The sequence below is a fragment of the Homo sapiens genome, chromosome 3 (genome assembly GCF_000001405.40).
Source record: "Homo sapiens chromosome 3, GRCh38.p14 Primary Assembly".
NCBI classification, from domain to species: Eukaryota; Metazoa; Chordata; class Mammalia; order Primates; family Hominidae; genus Homo; species Homo sapiens.
In genome coordinates this window covers 197042241-197060724 of record NC_000003.12, presented here as the reverse complement: position 1 = coordinate 197060724, position 18484 = coordinate 197042241, and the positions used below count along the sequence as shown (strand labels likewise).

The window sequence follows — 18484 nt, the reverse complement described above, 5'->3', positions numbered from 1 at the left end:
TATTAAAAACCTAAGTATCCTTTGTCAGTGAGTTTAAGCTTGTCAGAAAAGTTGTCATTTAAATCCAGAACTGGGGTCCCATATGCTAGTTTATGAGTTTTTGTCAGTCCCTAATAAAATGAGAAATAGAAGGATTGAGTAGTGGCAATGAGGTTTCACAAATTTGTTTATTTAAAAGGTTTGCCCTTACTCTAGGGTTTTTTATCTTTTATGAAATGATAGCTATGGGGAGATGGTAGTTTGGAGTCTTAATGAATAACTTTTCTTGGCAGAATGAAAAATAGGAACCTGGGCCTGGCACAGTGGCTCATGCCTATCATCCCAGCACTTCGGGAGGCTAAGGTGGGAGGATCACTTGAGCCCCAGGAGTTCAAGACCAGCCTGGTCAACAGAACAAGACCCCGTCCCTTAAATTTTAAAAAAAGGGAACGGCGGGGGAGCTCTATTTTTCACCATTTTGAGAAATAACTGATCCGTGAAAACTAGGAACTGTATTTTCATTCCTTTTTAAATATAACATTTGTTTGAAAATGGCAAATTAATTATGCATATTCAGCCATTTCATTTCCTATCTAAAGTTTGCTGAGAGAAATGACAAGTTTACTAAAAGTGAACAAGGATCGAAACAGATCATGATTTAGACTGTGGACCTGTAGGAAAAGTACCTTTGATATTATTGAGAATATTTGGCTCACTTGTTTTTTTTCTTTGTTCCCTTTATTTTAGGGCAAACACTGTATCCTTGATGTGTCTGGAAATGCCATAAAGAGATTACAGATTGCACAGCTTTACCCTATCTCCATTTTTATTAAACCCAAATCCATGGAAAATATCATGTAAGTGTAAATGCCTAAGGCATAGCCTCTGTGTACAAATTCAGTCACTGTAGGGTAATTTATTTACTCTCCCTGCATCTCAGTTTATCTATAAAATTGAGATAATAGTAGTATGTTTATTCACCTCAGATTATGTGGTGAGGATTAAATAAGCACTATGGGTTATAAATTGTCATTGTAATCATCATCATTAATATTACTAAAGTATAAGGTAACATGTGTTAGAACTTTAAATAGCCCCACGTGTGACTAGTGGCTACTGAAGTACGCAGCACAGCTCTCAGGTAACCATTAAGAGAATAAAAGAATGTATAACCATTACCTAATACTTTCAGGGGACAAAAAAATAGAATCTAAGTAAAAATTAAGAAAGAACAAATAGAAACACAGAATGTGAGGCAGAACCATATAAATAGTGAGATGGTATAAACTAAAGCAAATAATAGACTACTAGACTAAATGTTCCAATTAAAAGACAAGGGGTGAAGAAAAAAGTAAATTATATGTGGCTTTCATCAGACACACCTTAAAAATTAGGCTATGGGAAGGTTGAAAGTAAGAGAATAGGAAAAGATATACCATGCTAAACTAGGCTGATTTTTATATGGCTGACGAATATACTTTAAGGCAAGAAGTATTACTTAGCTTCAGAGTGACATTTCATGGCTGGGCACAGTGGCTCACGTCTGTAATCCCACCACTTTGGGAGGCTGAGGCGGGCAGATCACGAGGTCAGGAGATCGAGACCATCCTGGCCAACACGGTGAAACCCCGTCTCTACTAAAAATACAGAAAATTAGCCGGGCGTGGTCGCGGGCACCTGTAGTCCCAGCTACTCGGGATGCTGAGGCAGGAGAATGGCGTGAACCCAGGAGGCGGAGCTTGCAGTGAGCCGAGATCTCGCCACTGCACTCCAGCCTGGGCGGCAGAGCGAGATCCATCTCAAAAAACTAAAAAGAGTGACATTTCATAAAAGTAAAATATTCACTCCAACAGGAAGATCTGTTCGTACATTTGTTTGCACTTCATAGCATTCTCAAAACAAAAAATAAAAATTGACAGCTGCATAGGGGCGAAAAGTAATTCCAACATCATCGAGAGGGACAGAAGCAATTAAATAAGAAAACAAATATAAAAATCAGTGAAGGTATGGAATAACACAAATTTAAAACTTTACCTATTTGACATCTGTTAAACACTGCACTCATCATCTGCAAGAGACACATGGATTTCCAGTGTACATGAAACAGTTACTAAAACTGATCATTTGCTAGATTACAAATTTCAAAGGATAGAAAACAAATACTCTCCGACCATAATGCAATTTAAATGGAAACCAATAATTAAAAGATAACTAGAAAATCCTCATGTATTTGGAAATTAAGCATTATGCTTCTGAGTGAGTCAAAGAAGAAATCACAGAATAAATTGATGTTTTGAACTAAATAGTAGTGAATTGCCAAGTAGAGTTTGGAGGCTTTCATAGCTTTGTTGAAGGAATACACACAGCTTTGAAGGAATACACACAGCTTTAAATGTTAGGAAAGAATGTTGAAAATCAAATATTAGGAAAGTTGAAAATCTAAGATTTTGAGAAACTGAAAAAGAAGGCGGGGCACAACGGCCGGCCCCTATAATCCCAACACTTCAGGAGGCCTAGGTGGGCGGATTGTTTGAGTTCAGGAGTTCAAGACCAGCCTGGGCAACATGGTGAGACTCTGTCTCTACTAAAAATACAAAGAAATAGCCAGGCATGGTGGTGTGCGCCTGTGGTCTCAGCTACTTGGGATGCTGAGATGGGGGGATTGCTTGAGCACAGGGAGCAGAGGTTGCAGTGAGCCAAGATCTTGCCACTGCACTCCAGCCTGGTGACAGAGCGAGACCCTGTCCCAAGGAAAAAAAAAAGAAAACAATATTTAAAAATTTAAAAATAAAAAATATGGCAGAGCAGAAATTAATGAAATAGAAAAAACAAACATATGATAAAGAGGATCAACAAAGCCAAAAGTGTTCTCTTTGAAAATAAAATACAATAAACCATTAGGAGTGATCAAGAAAAGAAAGAAGGCATATCAATGTGAATATCAGGCAAGACAAAGAGGATATGACTACACATGCAGCAGACACCAAAGAGATCAACAGAGGCAGCCTGACAGGAAAAGGGACAAAGGGCTTGGACACATCACAAAAGAGAATCTCCAAAGAATAAGCCTGTGAGATAGTGCCCAACTAATCATGGAAATACAGGTTAAAAAAATGAAAAAGACAAAATATTTAATGCTGGCAAAGATGTGGAACAACTGAAACTCGTAACAGTGTTAGGGGTGCAGATTGGTGCATCTTCATTGGTAAACTGTTGATAGTATCATAGTGTCTCCTAAAGCTGAACATGCACGAGTTATGACCCAGAAGTCATATTCTTAGACGCACACTCCACAGAAACGCTTACCTGTGTTTACAAAGACAGGTACAAGCGTGATGACAGTACTGTTCAAATAGTCAACGACTGTCAGGTGCGGCGGCTCACACCTGTAGTCCTGACACTTTGGGAGCCCAAGACAGAAGGATTGCTTGAGGTCAGGAGTTGGGAGACCAGCCTGAGCAACATGGCACAATCCTGTCTCTACAGAAAACTTTAAAAGGTAGCTGGATGTGGTGGTGCATTCCTGTAATCCCAGCTACTTAGGAGGCCGAAGCAGGAGGATCCCTTGAGCCCAGGAGTTCTGTCCAAGCTGTAGTGAGCTATGCTTGCACCACTGCACTCCAGCCTTGGTGACAGAGTGAGGCCGTGTCTCTAAAAAAAAACAAAGAGTCAGTAACTAAAAACTAGAAACTACCCAAATACTATCAGGAGTAGAATATGTAAATAAATTATGACATGTTCACAATGAAACATTCTGTGATAATGTGAGCAATCTCCAGCCACATACAGAAGTATAGAAGAATCTCACAAGTACAATTTGAGTTAAAAACAAAAACCCAGACCTAAAGATATACATACTCTGTGACTCCAAATTTAATAATTGCTCATAGAAGTCAAATAGAGGTTACCCTGTAAGAATGGGTTGGTGACTAGAGTGAGCACACCCAGATTCTGGGGTCCTAGTCATGCTCTGTGTCTTGACCTAAGTATACAGGTACATGTAAGTTTGTGAAAATGTAACAAGCTGTATGATACGATTTTTCTAATATTGCTCATCTGTGTTTGAAACATATACTTCAGAAAATGTTAAGGAAAAAATAGAAAAGGAAAAGAAAAATAGAAAACCTAAATAATCTAGTACTTATTAAAGACTTGAACCCGTCATAAAAAGCCTTTCCACAAATTAAATACTAAGCCAAGCAGACTTACTAAATTCTACCAAAAGCTAAGAAGCTATGTCAATTTTATACAAACTTTTCAACTAATTTATGAGCATTAATTTGATACCCAAACCTGGAAGGGACTATATAGGAAAGGAAAATGATAAAGTCAGTCTTAATTATGACTATAGATTGCAAGAACCCTTACCAAAATAGGAGCAAATTGAATCAAACAATTTTTTTAATAAGGCAAAATGTAACAACCAAGTTGGGTATATTCCTGGTATGCAACACTGCTGCAGCATTTAAAAACTAATCAGTTATGGAGCTAGAGGGAAGATGGCAGAGTAGGAAGCTCTGGGAATCTGTCTCCCCACCCAGACGACAACTGCACTGGCAGAATCTGTCTGATGTTACTATTTCGGATCTCTGTTCACCATTTTTATCAGGTTGGGAACTCTGAAGTCTATTGAAGGCTTATGACTTCCAGGGGAAGGTTTGAAAGGTTAATTTCAGCTCTTAACATGGTAGCAACTACCTGTTCGTCTACCCTCAGTCCCATAGCATGTAGCCATGTACACATTTTCAAGCAGCTTTGCATAGGGTTTGTGGGAGCCAGTGTGGACAATAAGGATTCTGTCCTCCAAATAGCAGGAATCTTTGCTCTGATAGCTAATTACTGCTTCTGATCATGGAGGTGCAGCCATACAGTGAGCCATTGTTGCAAACCCCACTGCCACTGTTACAAGCCCCTCCACTTGAGGCTGAAGTGACTTAAAGATTTAAAGGGCCATTGCCTTCAGTGGTGATTAGTGAGGAGAAAGAAAAAATATTAAGTAAAAACAAAGGGCTAGTGCTTCCCTCTTCCCCCCACACCACAGACACACACACACACCTTTTTTCCCCCTCCCCTTTTGGGGGCCAGACCAGGACATTCAAAAGTATATGAGGGGAGGTTTTCATATCCATGGAAAATCACAGGCTTAGAAAATACCTGAAAAGACCCTAAGTTTACACCTCAGGCTGATTCCTGGTACAGAAACACCTTGCAACAGTAAACAATAAAATTAAATTTTAAATAAAACAGCAAACCCTGGGAAAGGAAGAGAATTCGTTCTCCAGAGTTACTTACATTGTAAGATTTAAATGTGTAGTTTCCCACAAAAAAATCACAAGACATACGAAGAAACAGGAAAATATAGCCCATTCAAAGGAAAAATAAACAAACTATCCCTGAGAAAGACTATACTTGAGAAAGAGTTAGACTTAATAAAGACTGTAAAACAAGATACTAAATGAGCTAAAAGACATGGACAAAGTCTCAAGAAAGTGATAGGCCCAGCGCAGTGGCTCATGCCTATAATCCTGGCACTTAGAAGGCTGAGACGAGAGGATCACTTGAACTCCGTGGTTCAAGACTAGCCTGGGCAACATAGTGAGACCTTGCCTCTATAAAAGGTAAGCAAAAATTGGCCAGACGCAGTGGCTCACGCCTGTAACCCCAGCACTTTGGGAGGCCGAGGCAGGCAGAACACCTGAGTTCGGTAGTTCGAGACCAGCCTGGGCAACATAGCAAAACCCCATCTCTACTAAAAATACAAAATTAGCTGGGCGTGGTGGCGGGCATCTGTAATCCCAGCTACTTGGGAGGCTGAGGCACGAGAATCGCTTGAACCCAGGAGGCGGAGGTTGCAGTGAGTAGAGACCATACCATTGCACCCCAGCCTAGGCAACAAGAGCAAAACTCCGTCTCAAAAAAAAAAATAAACAAAAATTAGCTGGCCATGGTGGCACGAGCCTGTGGTCCCAGCTACATGCAAAGCTGAGGTGGGAGGATCTCTTGAGCCTGGGAGGTCAAGGCTGCAGTGAGCCGAGATCACACCACTGCACTCCAGCCTGAGCAACAGAGGGAGACCTTGTCTCCAAAAAGATAAAGGAAAAAAAAGATGAAAAAGATACATGAACAAAATGGAAATATCAACAAAGAAATAAAAAACCTAAAAATAAACCAAAAGGAAATTCTGGAGGTAAAAATAACTGAAATGGAAAATTCACTACAGGGATTCAGGGAGATTTGAGCAGACAGAAGAAAGAATCAACAAGTTTTAACTTAAAGATACAACAATGGAAATTATTTAGTCTGCGAAACAGAGAAATGACTGAAGAAAAGTGAACAGAGCCTAAGGGACCTATAAGACACCATCAAGCAGTCAACGTACACATTGTGGAGGTCCTTGAAGGAGAATAGAGAGAAGGCAGAGAGATTGTTTGAAGAAATAATGGCCAAAAACATCCCAAATGTGATGAAAGACGTGAATATAATCCAAGAAAGTCAATGAACTCAAAGCAGGATAAACTTAGATACCCACACTGCGGCACATTATAATCAAAGTGTCAGAATACAGAGAGAATCTTGAAAGCAGCAACTTACCACACACAAGGGATTTCCCAATAAGATTATCAGTCACTGTTTTTGTTTGTTTGTTTTTTGAGACAAGGTCTCGCTTTGTCACCCAGGCTGGAGTGCAGTGGCTCGCTGCTTACCCAGGTTACTGCTGTCTTAACTTCCTGGGCTCAAGCAGCCTCTCACCTCGGCCTCCCAAGCAGCTAGGGCTACAGACATGCACCGCCACGCCTGGCTAATTTTTGTATTTTTTAGAGAGACAGGATTTTGCCATGTTTCCCAGGCTGGTCTCGAACTCTGAGCTCAAGTGATCCACCCACCTCAGCCTTCCAAAGTGCTGGGATTCCAGGTGTAAATAAATACCCACCTTGCCCAGCAATCAGCAGATTTTTTTTTTTTTTTTTTTTATGAGACAGGGTCTACTCTGTCTCCCAGGCTGGAGTGCAGTGGCTCATTCTCAGCTCACTGCAACCTCTCTGCCTCCCGGGTTCAAGTGATTCTCTTGCCTCAGCCTCCCTAGTAGCTGGGATTACAGGGACTCACCACTGTGCCCTGCTAATTTTTGTATTCTTAGTGGAGACGGGATTTCACCATGTTGGCCAGGCTGGTCCCGAAGTCCTGACCTCAGGTGATCCGCCTGCCTCGGCCTCCCAAAGTGCTGGGATTACAGGCTTGAGCCACCATGCCCTGCCAGCAGATATTTTATCAGAAACTCTGGAGGCCAGAAAACAGTGGGTTCAAAACACTGAAGGAAAAAAAAAAAATTTAACTGTCAACAAAGAATCCTATATCTGGCAAATCTATTCTTCAAAAATGAGGGAGAAATTAACACATGCCCAGATAAATTAAAACTGAAAGAGTTTATTACCTGTAGTCCTCCCTTACGAGAAATGCTGCAGAGAATTTTGTAGGGTGGGATGAAAGAGTACTAGACAGTAACTCTACAAAATATCAAAGCAAACGTCATAATTAATGGCAAAATATTGAAGGCTTTCCTTTAAGTTGGGAACGAACTCTATACTCATCATCCAGCTGCAGCAATAATTATCCACTTATGACCAATCTTGTTTCTCTCCACTCACACCCACCTCCTTACACCTTCATTCCAGATTATTTTGAAACAAGTCTCAGACATTCCTATCATTTTGTCTGTGTACATCACTGTGTATTTGAAAGATAATTTCTTACAAAAAGTCACTGATTATCATACTTAAAATAATAATTATTTGATAAAGTTCAAATGTTGCTGGTTATTTCATAAGTTTTGTTTGTGTTTCTTCAGTTTGTTGGAATAAAATTTTTAGTAAGATCTATTCATGGCAGTTGGTTAAGTTGTTTAACCTATAGATTCTCTCTCCACATCTCTCTTTTATGCCCCCACCCCGCCACACCTCCCATTTATTTGTGATAGAAACCAGGTCATTTCTTCTGCAGATGTTTCCCCAGACTGTATTTTCTGATTACCTTCTCATGGTGTTATTTATATGGTTGTTTGTCCCCTTATTTTCTGTAAACTGATAGGTAGATCTCTAAGTCACTTTAATATGAAATTTTCATCAAAGTCAAAAGTATCATAAATTAATGAATAGGTTTTTTGGCTACACTGAGCTGATGCAGAATTTGTTAAAACCCTCTGTCATTCCAAGTATACAGCAACATATTCAGTGACTAAATCTAGTTTTTATTTTTTTATTTTTGTTTATTTATTTATTTATTTTGTTGTTGTGGAGACAGAGTCTCGCTCTGTCACCCAGACTGGAGTGCAGTGGCACGATCTCGGCTCACTGCAACCTCTGCCTCCTGGGTTCAAGCGATTCTCCTGCCTTAGCCTCCCAGGTAGCTAGGATTACAGGCATGCGCCACCACACCCAGCTAATTTTTATATTTTTAGTAGAGTCGGGGTTTCGTCTTGTTGGCCAGGCTGGCCCTGAACTCCTTACCTCAAGTGATCCACCTGCCTTGGCCTCCCAAAATGCTGGGATTACAGGTATTAGCCACCATGTCCAGCCTATTATTTTTATTTTTAAAAATCCCAGAAACAGGCTGGGCTCGGTGGCTCACATCTGTAATCCCAGCACTTTGGGAGGCCAAGGCGAGCAGATTACCTGGGGTCAGGAGTTCGGGACCAGCCTGCCCAACTTGGTGAAACCCCATCTCTACTAAAAATATAAAAATTAGCCAGGCGTGGTGGCGCATGCCTGTAATCCAGCTACTTGAGAGATGGGGGCAGGAGAATCACTTGAACCCAGGAGGCGGAGGTTGCAGTGAGCTGAGATCGTGCCACTGCACTCCAGCCTGGGTGACAGTGTCAGACACTGTCTCAAAAAAAAAAAAAAAAAAAAAAAAAATTCCCAGAAATGACCAGAATGACTCAAGTTTTTAATGACATTCATATTTTCAGCAGAGTTCAACTTTTCATGATTTTCTATTTTATGTGTCATCTCTCCTTTGCCATCTTTTTTTTAAAAGTATTATAATTTGGTAATTATCAATTTCTACATTTATTTTCGTAGGGAAATGAATAAGCGTCTAACAGAAGAACAAGCCAGAAAAACATTTGAGAGAGCCATGAAACTGGAACAGGAGTTTACTGAACATTTCACAGGTTGGAACCGTGTTGTAACAGTCCTCTTTAAGATAGAATTTTGCTTTGAAGCCATGTGAACCGACCCGTTCAGGTGGATTTTGAACTATGCCTACATCTACCCGTAGTAACTAGTATCATCCAGCCTAGGCAGTGGTGCTGGGGAACCTTTTTTTTGAGACGGAGTTTCGCTCTGTCACCCAAGCGGAGTGCAATGGTATGACTCGGCTCACCGCAACCTCCGCCTCCCTGGCTCAAGCGATTCTCCTGCCTCAGCCTCCCGAGTAGCTGGGGCCTCCCTGGCTCAAGCGATTCTCCTGCCTCAGCCTCCCGAGTGGCTGGGATTACAGGCACCTGCCACCACGCCCAGCTAATTTTGTATTTTTAGTAGAGATGGGGTTTCGCCGTGTTGGTCAGGCTGGTCTCGAACTCCTGACCTCAGGTGATCCACCTGCCTCAGCCTGTCAAAATGCTAGGATTACAGCGGTGAGCCACCCTGCCCAGCCAGGAATCTTGAAATTTAATGTTTCTTAGGTTATTGATTAGAACAACAAAAACAGGAATAATTCATACTTGACCAGAGAAAAATAGATTTAGATTTCATTTCTTCTATGAAACTCTGATTTTTCTCTTATCCTTTATAAATTTTGATCCATTTTCTCTAGCCATGTTGAGGTATAATTGACAAAATTCGTATATATTCAAGGCATATAATGTGATTTGATAAATGTGTACATTGTAAGTTGATTAACACAATCAAATTAACATGTCTTTAACCACACAGTTACCATTTTGTGTGTGTAGGGAAGACTCTTAAGATCTACTCTTTATTAACAATAGTCACTACTGCTGTATATTAGATCCCCAGAATTTACTCATGTTAAAACTGAAAGTTTGTGCCCTTTCACTAACATCTCCCCATCTCTTCTACTCTGCAGTCCCTGGAAACCACCTCTCTGTTTCTATGAGTTCTACTTTTTTAGATTCCACGTATAAATGAAATACAGTATTTGCTTTTCTGTGTCTGGCTTATTTCATATAGCATAAGGTCCTCCACATTCACTCATGTTGGTTGTTGCAGATGATAGGATTTTCATTTTTATGGCCTAATAAAATATTCCATTGTTGTATATATACCATATGCATGCATACATACATACATATATATATATATTTGTTGTTGTTTGTTGTTGGGTTTTTTTGGGGGTTTTTTTTGTTGTTGTTTTTTTTTGAAATGGAGTCTGGCTCTGTCGCCCAGGCTGGAGTGCAGTGGCGCAATCTCGGCTCACTGCAACCTCCGCCTTCCGTGTTCACGCCATTCTCCTGCCTCAGCCTCCCGAGTAGCTGGGACTACAGGCAGCTGCCACCACGCCCAGCTAATTTTTTGTATTTTTAGTAGAGATGGGGTTTCACCATGTTAGCCAGGACGGTCTTGATCTCCTGACCTCGTGATCCACCCGACTCGGCCTCCCAAATTGCTGGGATTACAGGCGTGAGCCACCGTGCCCGGCCTGTTTTTGGTTTTGTTTGTTTGTTTTTGAGGCAGGGTTTTGTTCTTGCCCAGGCTGGAGTACAGTGTCATGATCATGGCTCACTGCAGCCTCAACCTCCTGGGCTCAAGCAATTCTCTCTCTTCAGCTTCCTTAGTAGCTGGGACTACAGGCGTGCAACACCACACCTGGCTAATTTTTTATTTTTGTAGAGACAGGGTCTCGCTATGTTGCCTAGGCTGGTCTCAAACTCCTAGGCTCAAGCAATCGTTCTTCCTCGGCCTCCCAGAGTGCTTGGATTATAGGTGCACTGCACCTGGCCTACAATATTCTCTTTATTCATTCATCTTTTTTGTTTTTGGAGATGGAGTTTTGCTCTTGCTGCCCAGGCTGGAGTGCAATGGCATGATCTCAGCTCACCACAACCTCCCGGGTTCAAGCGATTCTCCTGCCTCAGCCTCCTGAGTAGCTGGGATTACAGGCATGTGCCACCATGCCCAGCTAATTTTGTATTTTTAGTAGAGATGGGGTTTCCCCATGTTGGTCAGGCTAGTCGAACTCTTGACCTCAGGTGATCCGCCCGCCTTGGCCTCCCAAAGTGCCGGGACTACAGGCGTGAGCCATCGGGCCCGGCTCATTCATCTTTTGACAGACTCTTAGGTGATTTTCATATCTGGGCTATTGTTGATTATGTTGCAGTGAACATAGGAGTGCAGATTTCAACATACTGATTTATTTTCCTTTGGTTTTCTTTTTGTTGTTGTTGGCTTTTTGTTTTTTATTGTTTTGTTTTGAGACAGAGTCTCACTCTGTTGTCCAGGCTGGAATGCGGGTGTGATCTCAGCTTGCTGCAACCATCGCCTCCTGGGTTCTGTTGATTCTCCTGCCTTAGCCTCCCAAGTAGCAGGGACTAGAGGCACATGCCACCACACCCAGCTAATTTTTGTATTTTTAGTAGAGACAGGGTTACAGGGTTGGCCGTGCTGGTCTCAAACTCCTGACCTCAAGTGATCCGCCTGCTTCAGCCTCCCAGAGTGCTGGAATTACAGGTGTGAGCCACCACGCCTGGCCCAATTTCCTTTCCTTTGTATATATATCGAGTAGTGGGATTGCTAGATCATATAATAACTCAGTTTTTAATTTTTTGAGGTGGCTGGGCACAGTGGTTCATGCCTGTAATCCCAGCATTTTTGGAGGCCCAGGTGGGCAGGTCCCCTGAGGTCAGGAGTCCGAGACCAGCCTGACCAACATGGCGAAACCCCTTTTCTCTACTAAAAATACAAAATTAGCCGGGCGTGGTGGTGCATGCCTGTAATCCCAACTACTTGGAAGGTTGAGGCAGGAGAATTGCTTGAACCTGGGAAGCGGAGGTTGCAGTGAGCCAAGATCGCACAATTGCACTCCAGCCTGGGCAACAAGAGTGAAACTCTGTCTCAAAAATAATAATAGTAATAATAATTTCTTGAGGAATGTCCACACTATTTTCTGTGATGGCTTTACTCATTTACATTCCCACCAACAGTGTACAGGGTTCCCTTTTCTTCATACCATTGCCTACTTGTTATCTCTTATCTTTTTGATAACAGCCATCCACACAGGTCTAAGGTGATATTTCATTATGGTTTGCGTGTGTGTTTGTGACAGAGTCTTGCTCTGTCACCCAGGCTGGAGTACAGTGGCATGATCTCAGCTCACTGCAACCTCTGCCTCCTGGGTTCAAGCGATTCTCATGCCTCAGCCTCCTGAATAGCTGGGATTACAGGCACATGCCACCACACCCGGCTAATTTTTGTATTTTTAGTAGAGACAGGGTTTTGCCATGTTGGTCAGACTGGTCTCAAACTCCTGGCCTCAAGTGATCTGCCCGTCTCAGCCTCCCAAAGTGTTAGGATGGCAGGCGTGAGCCACTGCACCCAGCCTCATTATGGTTTTGGTTTCTGTTGCTCTGATTAATGAGGTTGAGCACTTTTACTGATACCTGCTGGCCATCTGTATGTCTTCTTTGGAAAAATGTCGATTCCAGTCCTTTGCCCATTTTTTAAATGGATTATTTGGTATTTTGCTAATGATTTTCTTATATATTTTGGATATTAACCCCTTACCAATTGCATGTTTGGAAATATTTTCTCCTCTTCCATAGGTTGCCTTTTCATTTTGTTGATTGTTCCTTTGCTGTGTAGATTTTTTATTTAATATCCCACTTGATGATTTTTTATTTTGCTGCCTGTGCTTTCCAAAAAATCATCCAAGACCAGTGTGAAGGCGCTTTTTTCCCTGTGTTTTCTTCTAGGAGTTTTATGGTTCTGGTTTTACATTTAAGTCTTTAGTCTATTTCAAGTTAATTTTGTATAAGATAAGGGTTTAGTTTCGTTCTCTTGCATGTGGATATCCAGATTTTCCAGCACCATTTATTTAAGACACTAGCCTTTCCCTATTGTGTAGTCTTGGCCCCTTTTTAATGATTAGTTGCCCTTTGATCCGTTTTGAAATACTATTTGTTTAAAAAAAAAAAAAGTAGGTAGCAACTCCCCAATATTCTTATTTTACTCGCCTTGTCCTTTAACTTCCTCCTCAAGTCTTTGGACATTTTTGTTGTTGTTACTTGTTTGTTTGAAATAATATCAGCCTAAATTTGACATTCACACTGAGTATCAGTAAGGGTCATGGTTTTTAAACCTTGTGCTTTCTTATTTTTTTCAAACTAATTTCAGACTTAAATAGAAGTTACAAGAATAGTACAGGGAGTTTCATGTACCCTTCACCCAAATTCCTCAAGTGTTAACATTTTACCACATTTATAGGTTTTTTTCTGATACACTTGAGAGTAAGTTTCAGGTAGATGTCCCTTTACTTCTAAATATTTCAGTGTGTATTTTCTAAAAAACAGGGATATTCCCTTATAGAATCATAGTTTTATTATCAAAATCAGGAAATTTAATAATTATATGTCTCATCTAACTATAGATCTTATTAGTATTTCACTATTCTTCTAATCTCTTTAGAGCAAAATGGAAAAAAATGGTTTTTCTGTTCTGGTGCAGGATCCAGCGGAGGCTCACGTGCTGTATTGGATTATCACATCCTTAATGTTCTTTAATCTGAAATCGTTCCCAAGTCTTGTTATTCATGACCCTGACTGACATTTTTTAAGAGTAAAAACACTAGGGGGGATTTTTTGTTGTTTTTTGTTTCGTTTTGTTTTTTGTTTCGTTTTGTTTTTTGTCTTTTGTTTTTTTTTGAGCCAGGGTCTCACTCTGTCACCCAGGCTGGAGTGCAATGGTGCGATCTCAGTTCACTGGAACCTCCACCTCCCAGGCTCAAGTGATCCTCCCACCTCAGCCTCCCAAGGAGCTGGGACTACAGGCTACAGCCAACATGCCCAGCTAATTTTTGTATTTTTTGTAGAGACAGGATTTCGCCATGTTGCCCAGGCTGGTCTCAAACTCATCCAATCCGCCCACCTTCACCTTGACCTCCCAAAGTGGTGGGACTACAGGCGTGAGCCACTGCACCCGGCCAAAGACCCATTCTTTTATAAAATGTCCCTCCCTCAATTTGGATTTATCTGATGTTTTCTCATAATTCGATTTAGGTTCTGCATTTGGGGCAGGAATAGCAATGAAGTAATGATGTGTCCTCTGTGTATCATGCAAGGAGGTTTACAAAGTCTACTTGTGCCGTTACTTATGATGCTAATTTTAATCACATGGTTAAGGTGTCTGCAGCCTTATGCTTTCCCAGTTTCCCTGGTTTACTAACCATTCCATTAATGAATTTACAAAGTAAGCAAAATGTATATTTCCCAAGTCAGTTCCTGACTGTTTTCTCCTAAAATAAATCCTTGCGTGCTGTTGTCAACCTAAACTATGAAATGCTCTAAAATAAATCCTTGCGTGCTGTTGTCAACCTAAACTATGAAATGCTCTGGGATTCTGTCCTGTGCTGTTGGGGTGCATCAAGATGCCAAACCCACGAACCAAGTATTTTGTCAAATGAACTGAGTCTTCAGGGACATTGAGGCATGTCTGCATTTAGCTCAAAAGGTAGAAGTCTCACAAAACTGATACTAGCGAATATCATGTTACTGAAAATTCTTGGTTATTCAGGCGTTCCTAGCTATGTATAAGTGCTTCCTACCTACATACAACGTCTTTCTTCTATGCACATCATCTCAGGTACCAAATAGACAGTATTATTTAAAATCCCCCTTTGACATTTTATGCTCAGTTTTTCAGACCATGGAAATCTACACCTATGATGCTCTTCCAAGATCACTGGGCATTTTTTTGTAGTTTAGTAAGTGACTTATTTAATTTGCAATTCTCAATTATTTCATTTATATGTAAACTTTTTTACGAGACACAAGGTTCCACTCTGTCACCCAGGCAAATGGTACAATCCAATGGTACGATCATAGCTCACTGCAGTTGTGAACTCCTGGGCTCAAGAGATCATCCTCCTGTCTCAGCCTCCCAAGTAGCCAGGATTACAGACACACACCACCATGCCCAGCTATTTTTTTTTTTTTTTAAATACACAGGGTCTCACTATGTTCCCCAGGCTGATCTCAAACTCCTAGCCTCAAGCAACCCTCCCACTTCAGCCTCCCAAAGTGCTAGGATTGCAGGCATGAGCCACCATGCCCAACCATAAACATTTTCTTTCTTTCTTAAAAAGTTAGTTACTCATGCTTAGTGCTGTCTAGCGATACTTTGTTTTTGTTTGTTTGTTTGCTTTATTAACTAATCCCTCACAGACCTCAGGGGCTTCAGCTATTCCCAAAGAATTAGTTGTTAGTAATTGTTACTCTTTTTTTCACACATTATTTCAGACAGCAAATAAACATTGATTGTTAAGTCTCTAACCACTAACAAGCTAGCTTAGGTATCTCTCAATTCACCTACACTACAGTACCTGACATGCTAGCTTAACTGAAAAAAGTAGTATCAATCTGTAATCAGCTCTTTTCCCCCAAGATCCTACCCCAAAAAAAAAAAAAATTATCCTTACATCATCCTGTCTATGGGATTGTACCCAGTTTCCTTTTTTCTACATATGTTTATGGAGAAATCAGGAAAGTTAAGAAAATAATTTGTTTTAAAATAATAAAGCTAATATATGCTCAGATGGTAAAAGAACAAAAGAAAAGATCTCCAAGTCTTACTTTTTGATCCATTTTTAAGATAAAAATTTTATACTATATAAATAGGAAAATTAATGAAGTGAGCCTTTTTTCCTAAGTGAACAGTGTGTAAATGGTGATTCTTCCTGGATGAGTAACTTTTTCAAAGATACTAGCTTCTACTATTTCATCAATAATTGTAATGGCAAAAATAGACAATTAATGGAGATTTCTGATTTTGTTTCTATCATTACAGCTATTGTACAGGGGGATACGCTGGAAGACATTTACAACCAAGTGAAACAGATCATAGAAGAACAATCTGGTTCTTACATCTGGGTTCCGGCAAAAGAAAAGCTATGAAAACTCATGTTTCTCTGTTTCTCTTTTCCACAATTCCATTTTCTTTGGCATCTCTTTGCCCTTTCCTCTGGAGTCTTTCTTGAGTACTGATTTCATGTTGAATTGTATCCCACACATCATGGTCTGCAGCTTCTTTTTCACATGTAGTGTCTCCTTCAAGTTACATCGTGTGTATTATTTAATGTCACTATTGGTTAGTGGCCATTTTTCAGAACTGAAGATGGAATGGCCTGACCAGCTATTAAGAACGTGGGGAGACGCAGAAATTGTGGTAAAATTCCTTAATGTTTAAGGGAAAGTAACTTTAAGAGATTTTTGGAAAAGCTTTATATACATTCTTTTCAAATTTCAGTACAAATGAAAAAGTGGTTTTAATCAGTGATTTAGTAGACTTTGAGCAACTGTGCACGCTTCAGTTTAATAGCATGGTTTGGCCAGTGTATTACTCTCAAGTCCTTTTCTCAATCAACTTCTATCATCAAAGCAATTGTTTCATTATAGATAAATAAGGACATTTTTTAATTTAAAAATTCATGTCTGAGTTGACTTTCATAAGGGATTTCATTTTTTCCTCAACATTCTTAAAGCCTTTTAGTATTTGACGGTTCTTTTTTCCCAGGACATTTGCTAGGAATAACAACGTTTCAATGTTTTTAATCTACTTGAGCAACACTATCGTGTCTTACAAAAGTTGTTCATATGTAAATGATCATCACATTTCGTGAATTGAGGCCATGTTCAGGTGCTAAGGAAGTTCGCCTTTTACACAGAAGATTGAGAAAATTTCCTAGATATAAATACAGATAAATCAGACGTTACAGTGGTGACGTAGTAACCATCATGGCAATGGAAAGGAGTCCAATTCATAGCCTAAAACTTCAAATGTATTCTTAGGAGTCAGATTTTACTGAATATTTTACCCACAATAGCTGCCTATTTTGTTATAATAAAATATATATAAATATATATATAAAACTTTCTTTAAACTGTAACTATGGGAATTATTTTCTTTACATAGTTGCGCACACACACAAACATATATATATATTTAAAATATATTTTGTTTCTTTTGCCACCTACTCCTAACTTTTTGTTTGGTTTTTAAATTAAATATTAATTGAATAGACTTATCTTCCTTAATCATGTGAACTGAAAATGGGGGCATGGTGGTCATGAGGAGGAAACATTTAGGGAAATTAGATTATAAGTAAAAGTGTGGGCATATTCTCCTCTTTTCTACAAAGGTTTTCAAATGGTTCCTGAGGTTTTTTGTTGTTGTCCGTGTTGTTACTGTTGTTCTTGTCATCAGGTTTGATTTTGGTCCTTGCCCTTTCCTTCTAGTTCTCCTTTTATTAATAGGAAGGCAGGCAAAAGCCCCATTTATGTGTGTGTTTTCCCCTCAGACAGCTTTCATCCACTGCTCTGCACTAGAATTGCACAAATCTTCATGGTGAGCAATTTTAAGAAATGTTAGTGAAAGGTAGAAATTATTTCACAAATCAGTTTCTCTGGTCCTTCATATTAATAATAATATTTGGCTTCCCATTGCTCTTTGGAGTTGTTTATTAAATATGTGTTTTTGACAACCTCCTCATTAGTTTCTTAAATGAGTACTGGTTTGTAAAGAATTATCAACATTATCCATTCCATTTATGAAGAAGAGGAGAACAGCTAATAAACTGTATTGTAAAATCCATATGTTAAGTGTGTCTTGAATTTTGAAAGAAAAAATATATTTTGCAAGCTAACATTTTCTTGAAACAATTTGAGGCATCATGTAACTTATAACCGAATCCAAGAGCCGTTAGGCAGCAGAGTGTGTTACCACATTGAAATACACAGTGCTGCTGTTAGACTAAATGTCGTAGGTTGTTAACCACATAGAAACACACTAGTATGAAGAAAACTGTTGTAAAATCTCAAGAGCTTCAGAAACTGCCTTACAAGACCGCAGCATAAGCTATTTTGAAGTATTTACCAAATAGTCACATGTTGTAAAATATCAAGTGGTTATAAAAGGATGCCATTTATATATTAAAATTTACATAACATTGTTTTCTGGATGTCCTTGTTAAGTGATTTTTTTGTAAGAATATACGTGCAGCTTTCTAGATTGTATAGGATTATCAATAATGAGATTACTAATTGCTGAGTATTATGCAATAGCCACTTTAGTATCGTACTTCTTAATTAAAAAAAAAAGAGAGAGAGAGAAGGTGGTGTTACTAGCCCCACTGTAAGGTTTACATTAAATCACTTGCCCAAGATGACTTAGCTAATAAGAGGCAGTGCTTAGTGTTTGGATCCGAGCCTCTCTGCCCCAATCTACATTCTTTCCAATACACTTGGCTGCCTCATTTTTCACCCCCTACTGTGTAAAGA

The 18484-nt window shown here is 39.8% G+C and overlaps 1 protein-coding gene across 40 annotated transcripts in view; it reads left to right on the top strand.

The window, feature by feature from the left end:
* DLG1 (discs large MAGUK scaffold protein 1) overlaps nucleotides 1-18165 on the top strand; it is a 256762-nt gene extending 238597 nt beyond the window's left edge. For all 40 annotated transcript variants that reach the window (NR_158764.1, NR_158765.1, NR_158767.1 and 37 more), the window contains 3 exons: nucleotides 727-836; nucleotides 9057-9148; nucleotides 15996-18165. Coding sequence is in view for 36 of the 40 variants with exons in the window: in NM_001366203.1 (NP_001353132.1) it covers nucleotides 727-836; nucleotides 9057-9148; nucleotides 15996-16102 (309 nt within the window). In the remaining 4 variants the exon portion in view is untranslated. The remainder of the gene's footprint in view (nucleotides 1-726; nucleotides 837-9056; nucleotides 9149-15995) is intronic.